The sequence below is a fragment of the Homo sapiens genome, chromosome 5 (assembly GCF_000001405.40).
Source record: "Homo sapiens chromosome 5, GRCh38.p14 Primary Assembly".
In the NCBI taxonomy this organism is placed as follows: domain Eukaryota; kingdom Metazoa; phylum Chordata; class Mammalia; order Primates; family Hominidae; genus Homo; species Homo sapiens.
Window position 1 is genome coordinate 108,791,786 of NC_000005.10, and position 12,868 is coordinate 108,804,653.

At 38.5% G+C, this 12,868-nt stretch overlaps 1 protein-coding gene across 22 annotated transcripts in view; it reads left to right on the top strand.

Moving 5' to 3' along the window:
• The window catches only part of FER (FER tyrosine kinase), a 448,945-nt gene that overhangs the window by 43,889 nt on the left and 392,188 nt on the right, over positions 1-12,868 (top strand). For 21 of the 22 annotated variants that reach the window (NR_146155.2, XR_007058589.1, XR_007058591.1 and 18 more), the window contains one exon: positions 6,339-6,604. Coding sequence is in view for 16 of the 22 variants with exons in the window: in NM_005246.4 (NP_005237.2) it covers positions 6,398-6,604 (207 nt within the window). In the remaining 6 variants the exon portion in view is untranslated. Of the gene's footprint in view, positions 1-6,338; positions 6,605-12,868 lie in introns of those variants that run through there. The other variant, XM_017009233.3, reaches the window with a different exon arrangement.

Below are 12,868 nucleotides of genomic sequence, written 5' to 3' on the forward strand. Positions count from 1 at the left end.
TTTTATTCTGAGAATTTTATAGTTTTAGCTCTGATACTTAGGTATGTCATCCATTCACAGTTAATGTTTTGTGTGCGGTCCAAGGAAGGCATCCTGCTTCATTGTTTTGCATGTGGAAATCCAGTTGTCCCAGAACCAGTTGTTGAAAAGACTTTTCTTTTCCAATGGAATGGACTTGGCACCCATGTAGAAAATCACTTTACCATAAATGTAAAGATTTGCATTTGGCCCCTCTAGTCTATTCCATTGATTTCTATGTTTATCCAGATGCCATTACCATAGTGTGTTGATCACTGTAGCTTTTTAGTAGGTTTTGAAATCAGAAAGTGTGAATCTTCCAACTTCGTGCCTCTTTTCAAGTTATTTCATGTTATTTTGGCTCCCTTACTTTTCTGTATAGATTTTAGGATAGCTTGTCAAGTTCTATAAAAAAGCTAGCCGAGATATTAATATGGATTGTGTTAAATTTGTAGATCAAATTGGAGAATCTTTCTTAACAATATTAAATCTTTTGATCTGTGAACATGAATATTTCAATTTACTTAGTTCTTTTAAAATTACTTTCTTTTTTGAGACGGAGTTTTGCTCTTGTTGCCCAGGCTGGAGTGCAGTGGGCGTGATTTTGACTCACTGCAACCTCCACTTCCTGGTTAAGTGATTCACCTGCCTCAGCCTCCGAGTAGCTGGGATTACAGGCATGCGCCACCACGCACGGCTAATTTTGTATTTTTAGTAGAGACGGAGTTTCTCCAGGTTGATCAGGCTGGTCCCAAACTCCTGACCTCAGGTGATCCACCTGCCTCAGCCTCCCAAAGTGCTGGGATTACAGGTGTGAGCCACTGCACCTGGCCCTAAAATTACTTTCAACAGTGTCTTAAGCTTACAAGTTTTGCTTTTTTTTTTTGTAAAATTTATTCCTAAGTATTTTATTCTTTTTTGGTGCTTTTGTAATAGAATTGTTTTCTAATTTCATTTTTGGATTGTTCAATGATGGTATCTAGAAATATAATTTATTTTTCTATATTGTATAAATATAATTTATTTTGTATATTGACCTTGTACCCTGTACTATTACTTATTTTTTGTTTATATTTTAAATTTTGTGGATACATAGTAGGTATATATATTTATAGGGTACATGAAATATTTTGATACAGACATGCAGTGTGTAATAATCACATCAGGGTAAATGGGGTATCCATCACCTCAAGCATTTATCCTTTGTGTCACAAACAATTCAATTATACAGCTTTAGTTATTTGATAATGTACAATTAAATTATTATTGACTATAGTCACCCTGTTGTGCTATCAGGTACTAGGTCTTATTCTGTATATATTTTTTGTTCCCATTAACCATCCCAACTTTCCCCCTGCTTCCCACTACCCTTTATAACCTGTTGTAACCATCCTTCTACTCTTTGTCTCCAGGAGCTCAAGATTGTCTTTCTGTGTCTGGCTTATTTCACTTAATATAATGACTGTGTCTGGCTTATTTCACTTAACATAACGACCACCAGTTCTATCCATGTTGTTGCAGATAACAAGATCTCACTCTTTTTAATGGCTGAATAGTACTCCATTGCGTATATGTACCACATCTCTTTATTCATTCATCTGTTGATGGACACTTAGGTTGCTTCCAAATATTGGCTATTGTAAACAATGCTGCAAAAAACATAGGAGTGCAGATATCTCTTTGGTATACTGATATCTATTTTTTTTTTGGCGGGGCGGGGGGGGTGGTTATATACCCAGCAGCGGGATTGCTGGATTATATGGTAGCTCAGTTTTTAGTTTTTTGAGGAAGCTCCAAACTGTTCTCCATAGTGGTTGTACACATTCCCACCAGCAGCAGTGTTTCAGGATTCTCTCTTTTCTACATCCTTACTATTTGTTTTCTGGTTGTTTTATGGTCTTTTTCCTTTCCTGTCTTCCTGTCTTTCTTTTAGGGAAGGTAATTTTCTTTGTTAGTATGACTTAATTTTACTTTTTTTGTATTCATTGTATGTTTTTTTGATTTGAGGTTACCATGAAGCTTGCAAATACTGTTTTATAACCCAGTATTTTAAACTAATGACAAGTTAACATGATTGTATAAACAAACAAGCAAAAAGAAAACTAATGAAAACTCTACACTTTAACTTTGACCCCTCTCCGCTTTTTAACTTATTGTTTCTATTCATAACTCATTGTACTATGTCTTGAAAAGTTGTAGTTATTATTTTTGATTGGTTCATCTTGTCTTTTTTCTGAAGACCAGAGTAGTTTACACACCACAATTACACATTATTATTATAATGTGATAATATTCTTTGTTTTTTTGGTGTACTTACTTCTACCAGTGAGTTTTGTACCTTCAGATGATTCGTTACTGCTCATTAATGTCCTTTTCTTTCTGATTGATTAATCCCCCTTAGCATTTCCTTTTTTTTTTCTTTTTTTTTTTTGAGACAGAGTTTCACTCTTGTTGCCCAGGCTGGAGTGCAGTGATGCAATCTTGGCTCACTGCAATCTCCGCCTCCCAGGTTCAAGTGATTCTCCTGCTGCGGCCTCCCTAGTAGCTGGGATTACATGTGCCCGCCTCCACGCCCAGCTAATTTTTTGTACTTTTAGTAGAGACAGGGTTTCACCATGTTGGCCAGGCTGGTCTCAAATTCCTGACCTCAGGTGATCCACCCACCTTGGCCTCCCAAAGTGCTGGGATTACAGATGTGAGTCACTGTGCTTGCCCCCTCCGCACCCCCCCCCCTCCCCGCACCTTAACATTTCTTATAGGACTAGTGTGGTGCTGATGAAATCCTTCAGCTTTTGTTTGTTTGGGAACATCTTTATTTCTCATTTATGCTTAAAGGATATTTTCACCAGATATGCTATTCTAGGGTAAACTTTTTTTTTCCTTCAGCACTTCAAATATTTCATGCCACTCTCTCCTGCCATGTAAGATTTCCACTGAAAAGGCTGCTGCCACACATGTGGGATCTCCATTGGATGTTATTTGTTTCTTTTCTCTTGTTGCTTTTAGGATCTTTTCTTTATTCTTGACCTTTGGGAGTTTGATTATTAAATGCCTTGAGGTAGTCTTTACATTAAATCTGCTTGTTGTTCAATAACCTTCTTGTACATGAATATTTACATCTTTCTACAGGTTTGGAAAGATCTCTGTTATTATCACTTTGAATAAACTTTCTACCCCTATCTCTTTCTGTACCTCCTTTTTAATTCTAATTACTCTTAGATTCCCTTTTTTGGCTGGACATGGTGGCTCATGCCTGTACTTTGGAAGGCCAGTACTTTGGAAGGCCAAGATGGGAAGATTGCTTGCACGTAGGAGTTTGACAGCAGCCTGGGCAACAAAGTGTGACCCCTTCTTTACAAAAAAATTTTAAAATTAGCTGGGCATGGTGACACATACTTGTAGTCCCAGCTACTCAGGAGGCTGAGACAGGAGGATCTCTTTAGCCCAGGAGGTTGAGGCTGCAGTAAACTGTGATTGTGCCACTGTACTCTAGCCAGAGGGAGACCCTGTCTGGAAAAAAAGAAAAACTTTCCCCTTTTGAGACTATTTTCTAGTTCTTGTAGGCATGGTTTATTCTCTTTTTTTGTTTTCTTTTTTTTTTTTTTATGTTCCCTCTGACTATTTTTTGTGCCACTGTACTCCAACCTGGGAGACAGAGGGAGACCCTGTCTGAAAAAAAAGAAAAAATTTCCCCTTTTGAGGCTATTTTCTAGTTCTCGTAGGCATGGTTTATTCTCTTTTATTCTTTTTTTTAATTGTTGTTGTTCCCTCTGACTATTTTTAAATAGTCTGTCTTCAAGCTCACTAATTCTTTCTTCTGCTTCATCGATTCTGATATTAAGAGACACTGATGCATTCTTCAGTGCGTCAGTTGCATTTTTCAACTCTAGAATTTGTGCTTCATTCTTTTTATTTATTTCAATCTCCTTGTTAAATTTATCTAGATAGAATTCTAAATTTGGTCTCTCTGTTATCTTGAATTTCTTTGAGTTAACTTTAAAACAGCTATTTTGAATTCTCTGTGTTAAAGATCCCATATCTTTCAGGCCAGGATTGGTTCCTGGTGCCTTAATTTAGTTTGTGTATGGAGATCCTGTTTTCCTGGATGGTCTTGAATCTTGTGGCTGTTCGACAGAGTCTGTACATTCGAGAGTTAGGTATTTATTAGATATTTATTGTAGTCTTCACTTCTGTGCTTTGTTTGTACCTGTCATCCTTGGGAAGGCTTTCCAGGTAATACAAGGTACTTGGGTGCTGTCATGTAAGCTGTATCTGTATTAGGGGCCACTTCAAGCCCAGTAACACTATGATTTAAGTGGACTTGTAGGGGCACTGCCTTTGTGGTCTTGGATAAGATCTGGGAGGATTCTCTACATTACCAGCAGAAACTCTTGTTCCCTTTCGTTACTTTCTCCCAAACAAATGGAGTCTCTCTCTCTTTTGAGTCACCTGGAGCAGGGGATGGGGTGACACAGTCACCCATGTTGCTACCAGTACTGGAATTGCACTGGGTCAGACCTAAAGCCAGCGCAGCACTGGGTCATGCCCAAGGCCCACTGTAATTGCTACCTGACTCCTGCCTATGTTTGCTCAAGGCACCTGAGCTTTATAATCAGCATGTGGTGAAGCCAGCGAAGCTTGTGTCCTTTCCTCAAGGGTGGTGAGTTTCTGTAGGCTCCAAGTGGGTCCAGAAATGCTGTCTGTTAGCCAAGGAGTAGAGTCAAAACCTTAGAAATCTACCTGATGCCCTATTCTACAGCTAAACTGGCACTCAAGCCATGAGACAAAGTCTTTCCCGCTCTTCCCTCTCCTTTCCTCAAGTAGAAGAGCCTCTCTCCCTGGCCACCACCACCGTAGGCCCACAGGAAGTACTGCCAGGCTACTGCTGATGTTGACGTGAGGCCCAAGTTTCCTTCAGTCAGATTGTGGTGAATGCTGGCAGTCCTGGGACTTACCCTGCAGGGCAGTGGGCTCCTCTCTGGCCAGAGCAGGTCTAGAAGTGCCACCTAAGAGGCAAGGCCTGGAATTGGGGGCCGTAAGAATGTGCTTGGTGCTCTACCCCACTGTGTTCGAGATGGTACCTAAGGTGTAAGACAAAGTCCCCTTAATTTTCTCTTTGTTTTTCTCAAGCAGAAGGAGTCTCTCACCATAGCCACCACAACTGGGAATGTGCTGGGTCTCACCTGAGGTTAGCATGTCTGAATCTGACCCAGAGCCCACAGCGTACTACCCGGGTATCACTGCTGGTTATTCAGGGACCAGAGGCTCTTAAGTCAGCAGGTGATGAAGCCTGCCGGGACTGGGTCCTCCCTTTCAAGGCAGCGGGGTTTTTTTTGGCCCAGGTTGTGTTTAGAAATGTCATTCAGGAGGTAGGGCCTATAATAGGCGCCTAATGACTGCCCAGTGCTCTATCCTTCTGTGGCTGAGCTGGTATCCAAGAGGCAGGACAACATTCTCTTTACTGTTTGTCTCCTCTCCTCAAGCAGAAGGATGGAGTCACTTTTGTTGCTGCAAGCTGTGCTGGCCGGGGTGCAGAAGGGGTGTTGCAAGCACTCCTGTAGCCTCCCTCTCTCATGTCTCTCTAGGTTGCTGAAACTCAAGTTCTGACTGCTGGAATGGGCAATTCCCCTCTGGCTATGGCTGGTCTAAATGCTCCCTTCCTGGGTGGGCATTGGCTGAGTTCATCCTGGTTTTGCTTTCTGCTGTGACATGGCAGCAGTGAGTTTATTGCAAAGTCCCACAATCACAGTGCTCTCTTTCTCCTCCAAGCATACTCTGTGCACCATGTGGCCACTGCTGGGTGATGGGAGAGGACTGGTCTTGATGATTCGAGACTGTGTTTTCTACCCTTTTCAGTACCTCTTTCAGCGATAGGAAGTTAAAACTGGGTACTGTGATTGCTCACCTGATTTTTGTGTGTGTAAATAGTTGTTAAATTTGGTTTTCCTGCTGGCAGGGGGCAGGGAGGCATAATTGGTGGAGGCTTCTAGTCATTTATTTTAATGGTTTTTGTTGCATTACATAGGATTTTCTTCATACAAGATGATGTAATTTGCAAATTAAGATAGTTTTACTTCTTCCTTTCCGATCTGAATGCCCCTTTTATTTCGTTTGTTTCACTGTAATGGCTAAGACCTCTGGAGTAATGTTGAAGCCAACAATAGGGTGGACTTCTTCATCTTGTTTCTGATCTTTGGAAGAAAGTATTCAGTTGTGTTTTTTTTTTTTAACCCCAAAGAAGAATCTATCATAACTTTTTTTTTTTTGAAGACTAATTTCCTTTTTATTTAAGAGTTTTTCTCTTTTGTTTACATACACAGATATGTGCTGATTAGAAGGCTCACTTGTGCAGTGTGGAGGATAACCAGTGCCTTACAAAATGGGGTTTGGGAGTGACCTGAAGAATTCACATGAAGCAGTGTTAAAATTGCAAGACTGGGAATTACGGTTACTGGAAACAGTAAAGAAATTTATGGCCCTGAGAATAAAAAGTGATAAAGAATATGCATCTACTTTACAGAACCTTTGTAATCAAGTTGATAAGGAAAGTACTGTCCAAATGAATTATGTCAGCAACGTATCCAAGGTAAGAAGAATAATTTCACTCTTTGTTATTTATAACATTATAATTGTCCTTAAAATGCAATAGCTCAAACTATTGAATGAGCATACTTAAGTCAGCATTCTAAAGCAGTGATTCCACAGTTTTACAGAGTATGAAAATCTCATGGAGAAGTTTTTAAAAATTATAAATTTTGGAGTGGCCGGGCATGGTGGCTCACACCTGTAATCCTAGCACTTTGGAAGGCTGAGGCAGCAACATCACTTTAGCCTAGGAGTTTGAGACCAGCCTGGGGAAAGTGGTGAAACCCTGTCTCTACAAAAAATATGAAAATTAGCTGGGCGTGGTAGCATGTGACTGTAGTCCTAGCTACTTGGGAGGTTGAGGTGGGAGGATTGCTTGAGCCTGTTAGATCAAGGCTGCAGTGAGCCGTGGGTGACAGAGTGAGACCCTGTCTCAAAAAACAAAACAAAAAATTCCCTAATTTTTTGTGCCTCTCTGATATTCTGTATTCTATAGCTGTACCTCTCTGATGCTCTGACTTAATGGGTCAGGTTTGAGAACCATTGTTACAAATTTTGGTTTCTTTTATTAACTCTTCTGGCTTTGGGTCATTTGAACCCTGCTATTTTTCCCTTTTGCACAAACTTTAGTTATAAACCACTCCCTGAATTCTTCTGTGAACCATTAGTGTTGTGAATCATATGGAATATTTTAGCATGTAGCTCTTATTTGCTATCATTTCAGTACAAAAATATTAGTATATTGTTGAGTTAGTCACTCTTAAAACATCCATTAGATGAATAATGTATTTTTTAAATCCAAGATTATTCTGTCATATAAAAATAAGGGCCAGAATTACACTGTTAATTGTTCTTTGAAAACATTGAAGAAGAAATATTAAACTCTAATAGTTCTTGGATTCTTGCTTTGTTACTTCCAGTGTCTTATTTAAATATCATATTTCACTATAGAATGTTAAAAAAATTAATCTTCTTTCACTTTTGGGTCTTAGGATTTGAGTAAATTTTAGAGGAAAACTCTGTTACCTGTGGAGACTGTGTATATAGTGTGTTTGATCAAGTAAGGAGTTGTGATTCTGTTAAGAACCCAGTAATGTTCATATCTTTAACTTCCTTTCTGGGCCAGTATCTAGTCTGAAGGTAGAGCTGCCAGAGATGGCCACAAAAAATACAGGACACCATTTGAATTTGCATGCAGTATTTAGGACAAACATACATTAAAAATGATTTGTTATTTATCTGAAATTCAAATTTAACTGGATATCCTTTATTTTATTTGGCAATTTCATCTGTGGGTATAAAGCCTTCTATTATGTTAATGGGAATAGATAGGGAAAGTATTTTTGGTATTTTAAAAGTCACATTTTATTTAATCTTCTTGTTTTTGGTAAGCTACCTGGTGTTTCTGAGTCCAAAGGCTTTCTGCTTCATTTATCCCTCTTGTTTTCTTTTCTTTTCTTTTTTTTTTTTTTGAGATGCAGTCTCACTTTCTCGCCCAGGCTGGAGTACGGTGGTGCAATCTTGGCTCACTAAAACCTCTGCCTCCCGGGTTCAGGTGATTCTTGTGTCTCCGCCTCATGAGTAGCTGGGATTACAGGTGTGTACCACTACACCTGGCTAATTTTTGTATTTTTAGTGCAGATGGGGTTTCATCATGTTGGCTAGGCTGGTCTTGAACTCCTGACCTCAAATGATCTACCTGCCTCGGTCTCCTGAGCTTTAACGGAGTCATCTGACCTCATAAATCTTGACCTCCCTTTTGCAGGACACTTAGGTTTTAACTTTTCCTCATATGCTAATTAGTTACCACTTATCTGCTTTTCATTTTCTTACATTCTGTTGACATATCTTATTTGCCATTGTCACATAGTTTCTGTTTTCTTTGTTATTGCTAATTTATACATTAAATTAACAGTTGAACAATGGTTGAGAACTCACAGAAAATCAAGGAGTATGTCAGCCTTTCCTCTTTTTTTTTTCTCTTTAGGATCTTGCTCTGGCATCCAGGCTGGAGTGCAGTGGTACAGTCATGGCTCATTGCAGCCTTGACCACCCAGGCTCAAGCAATCCTTCCACCTCAGCTTTCTAGGGAGCTGGGACTATAGGCATGCGCCACCATAACTGGCTAATTTTATTTTTTATTTTATAGAAACGGGGTCTCAGTATATTGCCCAGGCTGACCTTGACCTTCTGGGCTCAAGCAATCCTCCCACCTTGGCCTCCCAAAGATCTGGGATTATAGGCATGAGCCACTGTGACCAGCCATTCTTTCCTCTTAACACAGAAAAACTATGATTTATTCTACCTATAAGTAAAGTCTACCTTTTAAAAAGAGGATTGTGCTTTTCGTATTATATCTTAAAAAATCTTTGCCTGGGCCGGGCGTGGTGGCTCACGCCTGTAATCCCAGCACTTTGGGAGGCCGAGATGGGCGGATCACAAGGTCAGGAGATCGAGACCATCCTGGCTAACACGGTGAAACCTCGTCTCTACCAAAAATACAAAAAAATTAGCCGGGCGTGGTGGCGAGTGCCTGTAGTCCCAGCTACTTGGGAGGCTGAGACAGGAGAATGGCGTGAACCCGGGAGGCGGAGCTTGCAGTGAGCCGAGGTCATGCCATTGCACTCCAGCCTGGGCGACAGAGCAAGACTCTGTCTCACAAAAAAAAATCTTTGCCTGATGCAAAGTTAAAGAGTTTTGCCTGTGTTATCATCTGGAAATTTTTATAGTTTTAAGTTTTGTTTGTAGGTCTATGATTTATTTTTATTTAATTTTTGTACATGTGGCAAGCTATGGATTGAAGTTCATATTTTTATCTTTTTTTGCTTCTGGATACCCATTTGTTCTAACTTCATTTGTTGAAAACACTAAGCTTTCTCCATTGAATTGCCTTTGCATCTTTGTTTAAAATCAGTTAACCATAATGCGAGTCTATTTTTATACTCTTTATTCTGTTCCATTCATATTTTTGTCTATCATGACATCAGTAACACATTTAATTATTTGTTCCTTGATAATAATATCAAAGTCAGGTAGTGTACAGTAGTCATCCCTTATTCATGGGAGATATGTTCTAATATCCCCAGTAGATGCCTGAAGCTGTGGATAGTACTGAACGTCCATTGTTGTCCATCAGAATATGTTTCTTTTCATGCCTTCCACCCACACATTTAATTCCTTTTCCATCTTAACTAAGCACTTATCACGTACTATGCATATAACTTTTGCAGTTTGAAGTGCAACATCAAAAATTCAAAGGTGCAAATTTCCTTTTTCTTCTTTTTCACAGTTGCATGGATAGAAGATTCATTCTTACTGTAGCTCTTAGCAAACTCAGCATATGTTTTTTTTCTTTCCTTAAGTTGAGAACTTTCATCCCTTCACCCAAAGGAGACACTTTCTGTCTTCTTTTTGGCATATCCAAATTACCGGCATCACTATCCTTGCAGTTTGGGGCTATTATTAAGTTAAATAAAGGTTCCTTAAACACAAGCACTGCTATAGCAAGGATAACTGAGATGGCTACTAAGTGAGTAATATTCAAGTAGCATATACAGCATGGATACACTAGACAAAGGGATGATTCATATCCTGGGCAGGACAGAGTGGGGAGGCTAGGTATTTCATCATACTACTCAGAGCGGTGTCACCTTAAAACTTACGAATTGTTTATTTCTGGAATTTTCCATTTTTGGATTACGTGCAATCAAAACTGCAGGAAGCAAAACAACAGATTAAGGGGTACTACTGAACTTATTTTTTTTTTCAAAATTATTTTGTCTTTTCTAAATGTTGTGCATCTCCTTACAAATTTTAGGAGCACCTTACCAATCATTTTTTTTAAAAGGCTACTGGGATTTTGCTTGGAATTACATTGAATGTATAGATAAATTTGGGGAAAATCTATATCTTAACAGTATTGGGTCTTTCAATAAATAAAAATGATATACATTTTAAATTGTTAAAAAATAATTCAACTTTTATTTTAGATTCCGGGGGTACACATGCAGGTTTGTTACCTGGATATATTGTGTGATGCTGAGGTTTATGGTATGAATGACCCCATTACCAAAGTCGTAAGCATAATACCCAATAGTTTTTCAGCCTTTCCCCCCGTCCTTCCCTCTCCCCTCTAATATTCTGTAGTGCCCATTGTTTCCATCTTTATATCCTTGTGTACCCAATGTTTAGCTGCCACTTATAAGTGAGAACATGGAGTATTTGTTTTTTTTTGTTCCTGTGTTAATTTGCTTAGGATAATGGCCTCCAGCTGCATACATGTTGCTGCAAAGGGCATGATTTCTTTCTTTTTTATGACCATATAGTATTCTGTGGTGCATATGTGCTGCATTTTCTTCACTCAGAGCGGTATCACCTTAAAACTTACGAATTTTCTGTTTTCTGTTTCTACAAAACAGAAACAGGTGTCTGTTTGGTAGAACTATTTATTTTCTTTTGGCTGTATACCCACTAATGGGACTGCTAGGTCTAATGGTAGTTCTGTTTTAATTTCTTTGAGAAATCTCTAGAGTGCTTTCTCTAGTGGCTGAACTAATTTACATTTCCACCAACAGTGTATTAAGTGTTCCCGTCTCTCCACAACCTCACGAGCATGTGTTGTTTTTTTGACGTTTTAATTATAGCCATTCTTACTGGTGTGAGATGGTATCTCATTGTGGTCTTGATTTGCATTTATCTGATAATTAATGACGTTGAGCATTTTATCATGTGTTTGTTGGCCACTTGTATGTCTTCCTTTGAGAAGTATCTATTAATGTCCTATGCCCACTTTTTAATGTTTTTTTTTCTTGATGATTTGTTTAAGTTCTGTGTAGAACATTAGTCCTTTGTTGGATGCATGGTTTATGATTATTTTCTCCCATTCTGTAGGTTGTCTGTTTACTCTGTTGGTAGTTACTTTTGTTGTATAGAAGCTCTTTAGTTTGATTAAGTCCCACTTGTCAATTTTCATTTTTGTTGCAATTGCTTTTGAGAATTTAGTCATAAATTTCTTCCCACAGCTGATACCCAGAATGGTGTTTCCCAGGTTTTCTTCTAGGATTCTTATAGTTTGAGGTCTTACATTTAAATCTTTAATCCATTCTGAATTAATTTTTGTACATGGTGAAAGGTAGGGGACAAGTTTCATTCTTCTGCATATAAAGCTAGCCAGCTATCCCAGCAGCATTTATTAAATAGGGAGTTCTTTCCCTGTTGCTTATTTTTGATGAAAGATCAGATGGCTGTAGGTTTGCATTTTTTTTTTTTAATTTCTGTGTTTTCTAATCTGTTCCATTGGTCTATGTGTCTTTTTTTGTACCACTACCATGCTGTTTTGGTTATTGTAGCTTTATAGTATAGTTTGAACTTGCGTAACATCAAGCCACTGGCTTTGTTCTCTTTACTTAGGACTGCTTTGGCTATTTGGGCGACTTTTTGGTTGCATATGAATTTTATTATAGTTTTTTCCCAGTTCTGTGAGAAATGACAGTAGTTTGATAGGAATAGTGTTGAATCTGTAGATTGCTTTGGGCTGTATGGGCATTTAATGATATTGATTCTTTCAGACCGTCCGCACAGAATGTTTTTCCATTTGTTTGTGTCATCTGTGATTTCTTTCAGCAGTGTCTTGTAGTGCTTCTTATAGGGATCTTTTATTTTCTTGGTTAAATGTATCCCTAGGTGTTTTATTTTATTTTTTTGTTTCTCTTGTAAATGGCATTGCATTCTTGATTTGGCTATCAGCTTGAATGTTATTAGTATATAGAATTGGTGCTGATTTTTCTAATTTATTTTGTATCCTGATTGTTTACTGAAGTCGTTTATCAGTTTCAGGAGCCTTTTGGTGAAGTATTTAGGGCTTTGTAGGTATAGATGCATGTCATCCATTAAGAGAGATAGTTTGACTTCTTTTCCTATTTGGGTGCCTTTTATTTTTTTCTCTTGCCTGATTGTTCTGGCTAGGACTTCTAGTACTATACTGTATTGGAGTGGTGAGAGTGTGCATCCTTGTCTTGTTCCAGTTCTCAAGGGGAATAGCTCAAGCATTTGCCGTTCAGTATGATGTGGGCTGTGTGTTTGTCATAGATGGCTCTTACTGTTTTGAATTATATTCCTTCCATGCCTAGTTTATTGAGGATTTTTATCATGAAGCGATGATGGATTTTATCAAACGCTTCAATCTCAATCATCAATTGAGATTATTATATGGTTTTGTTTCTGATTGTGTTCGTGTGACAAATTACAGTTATTGATTTGTATATGT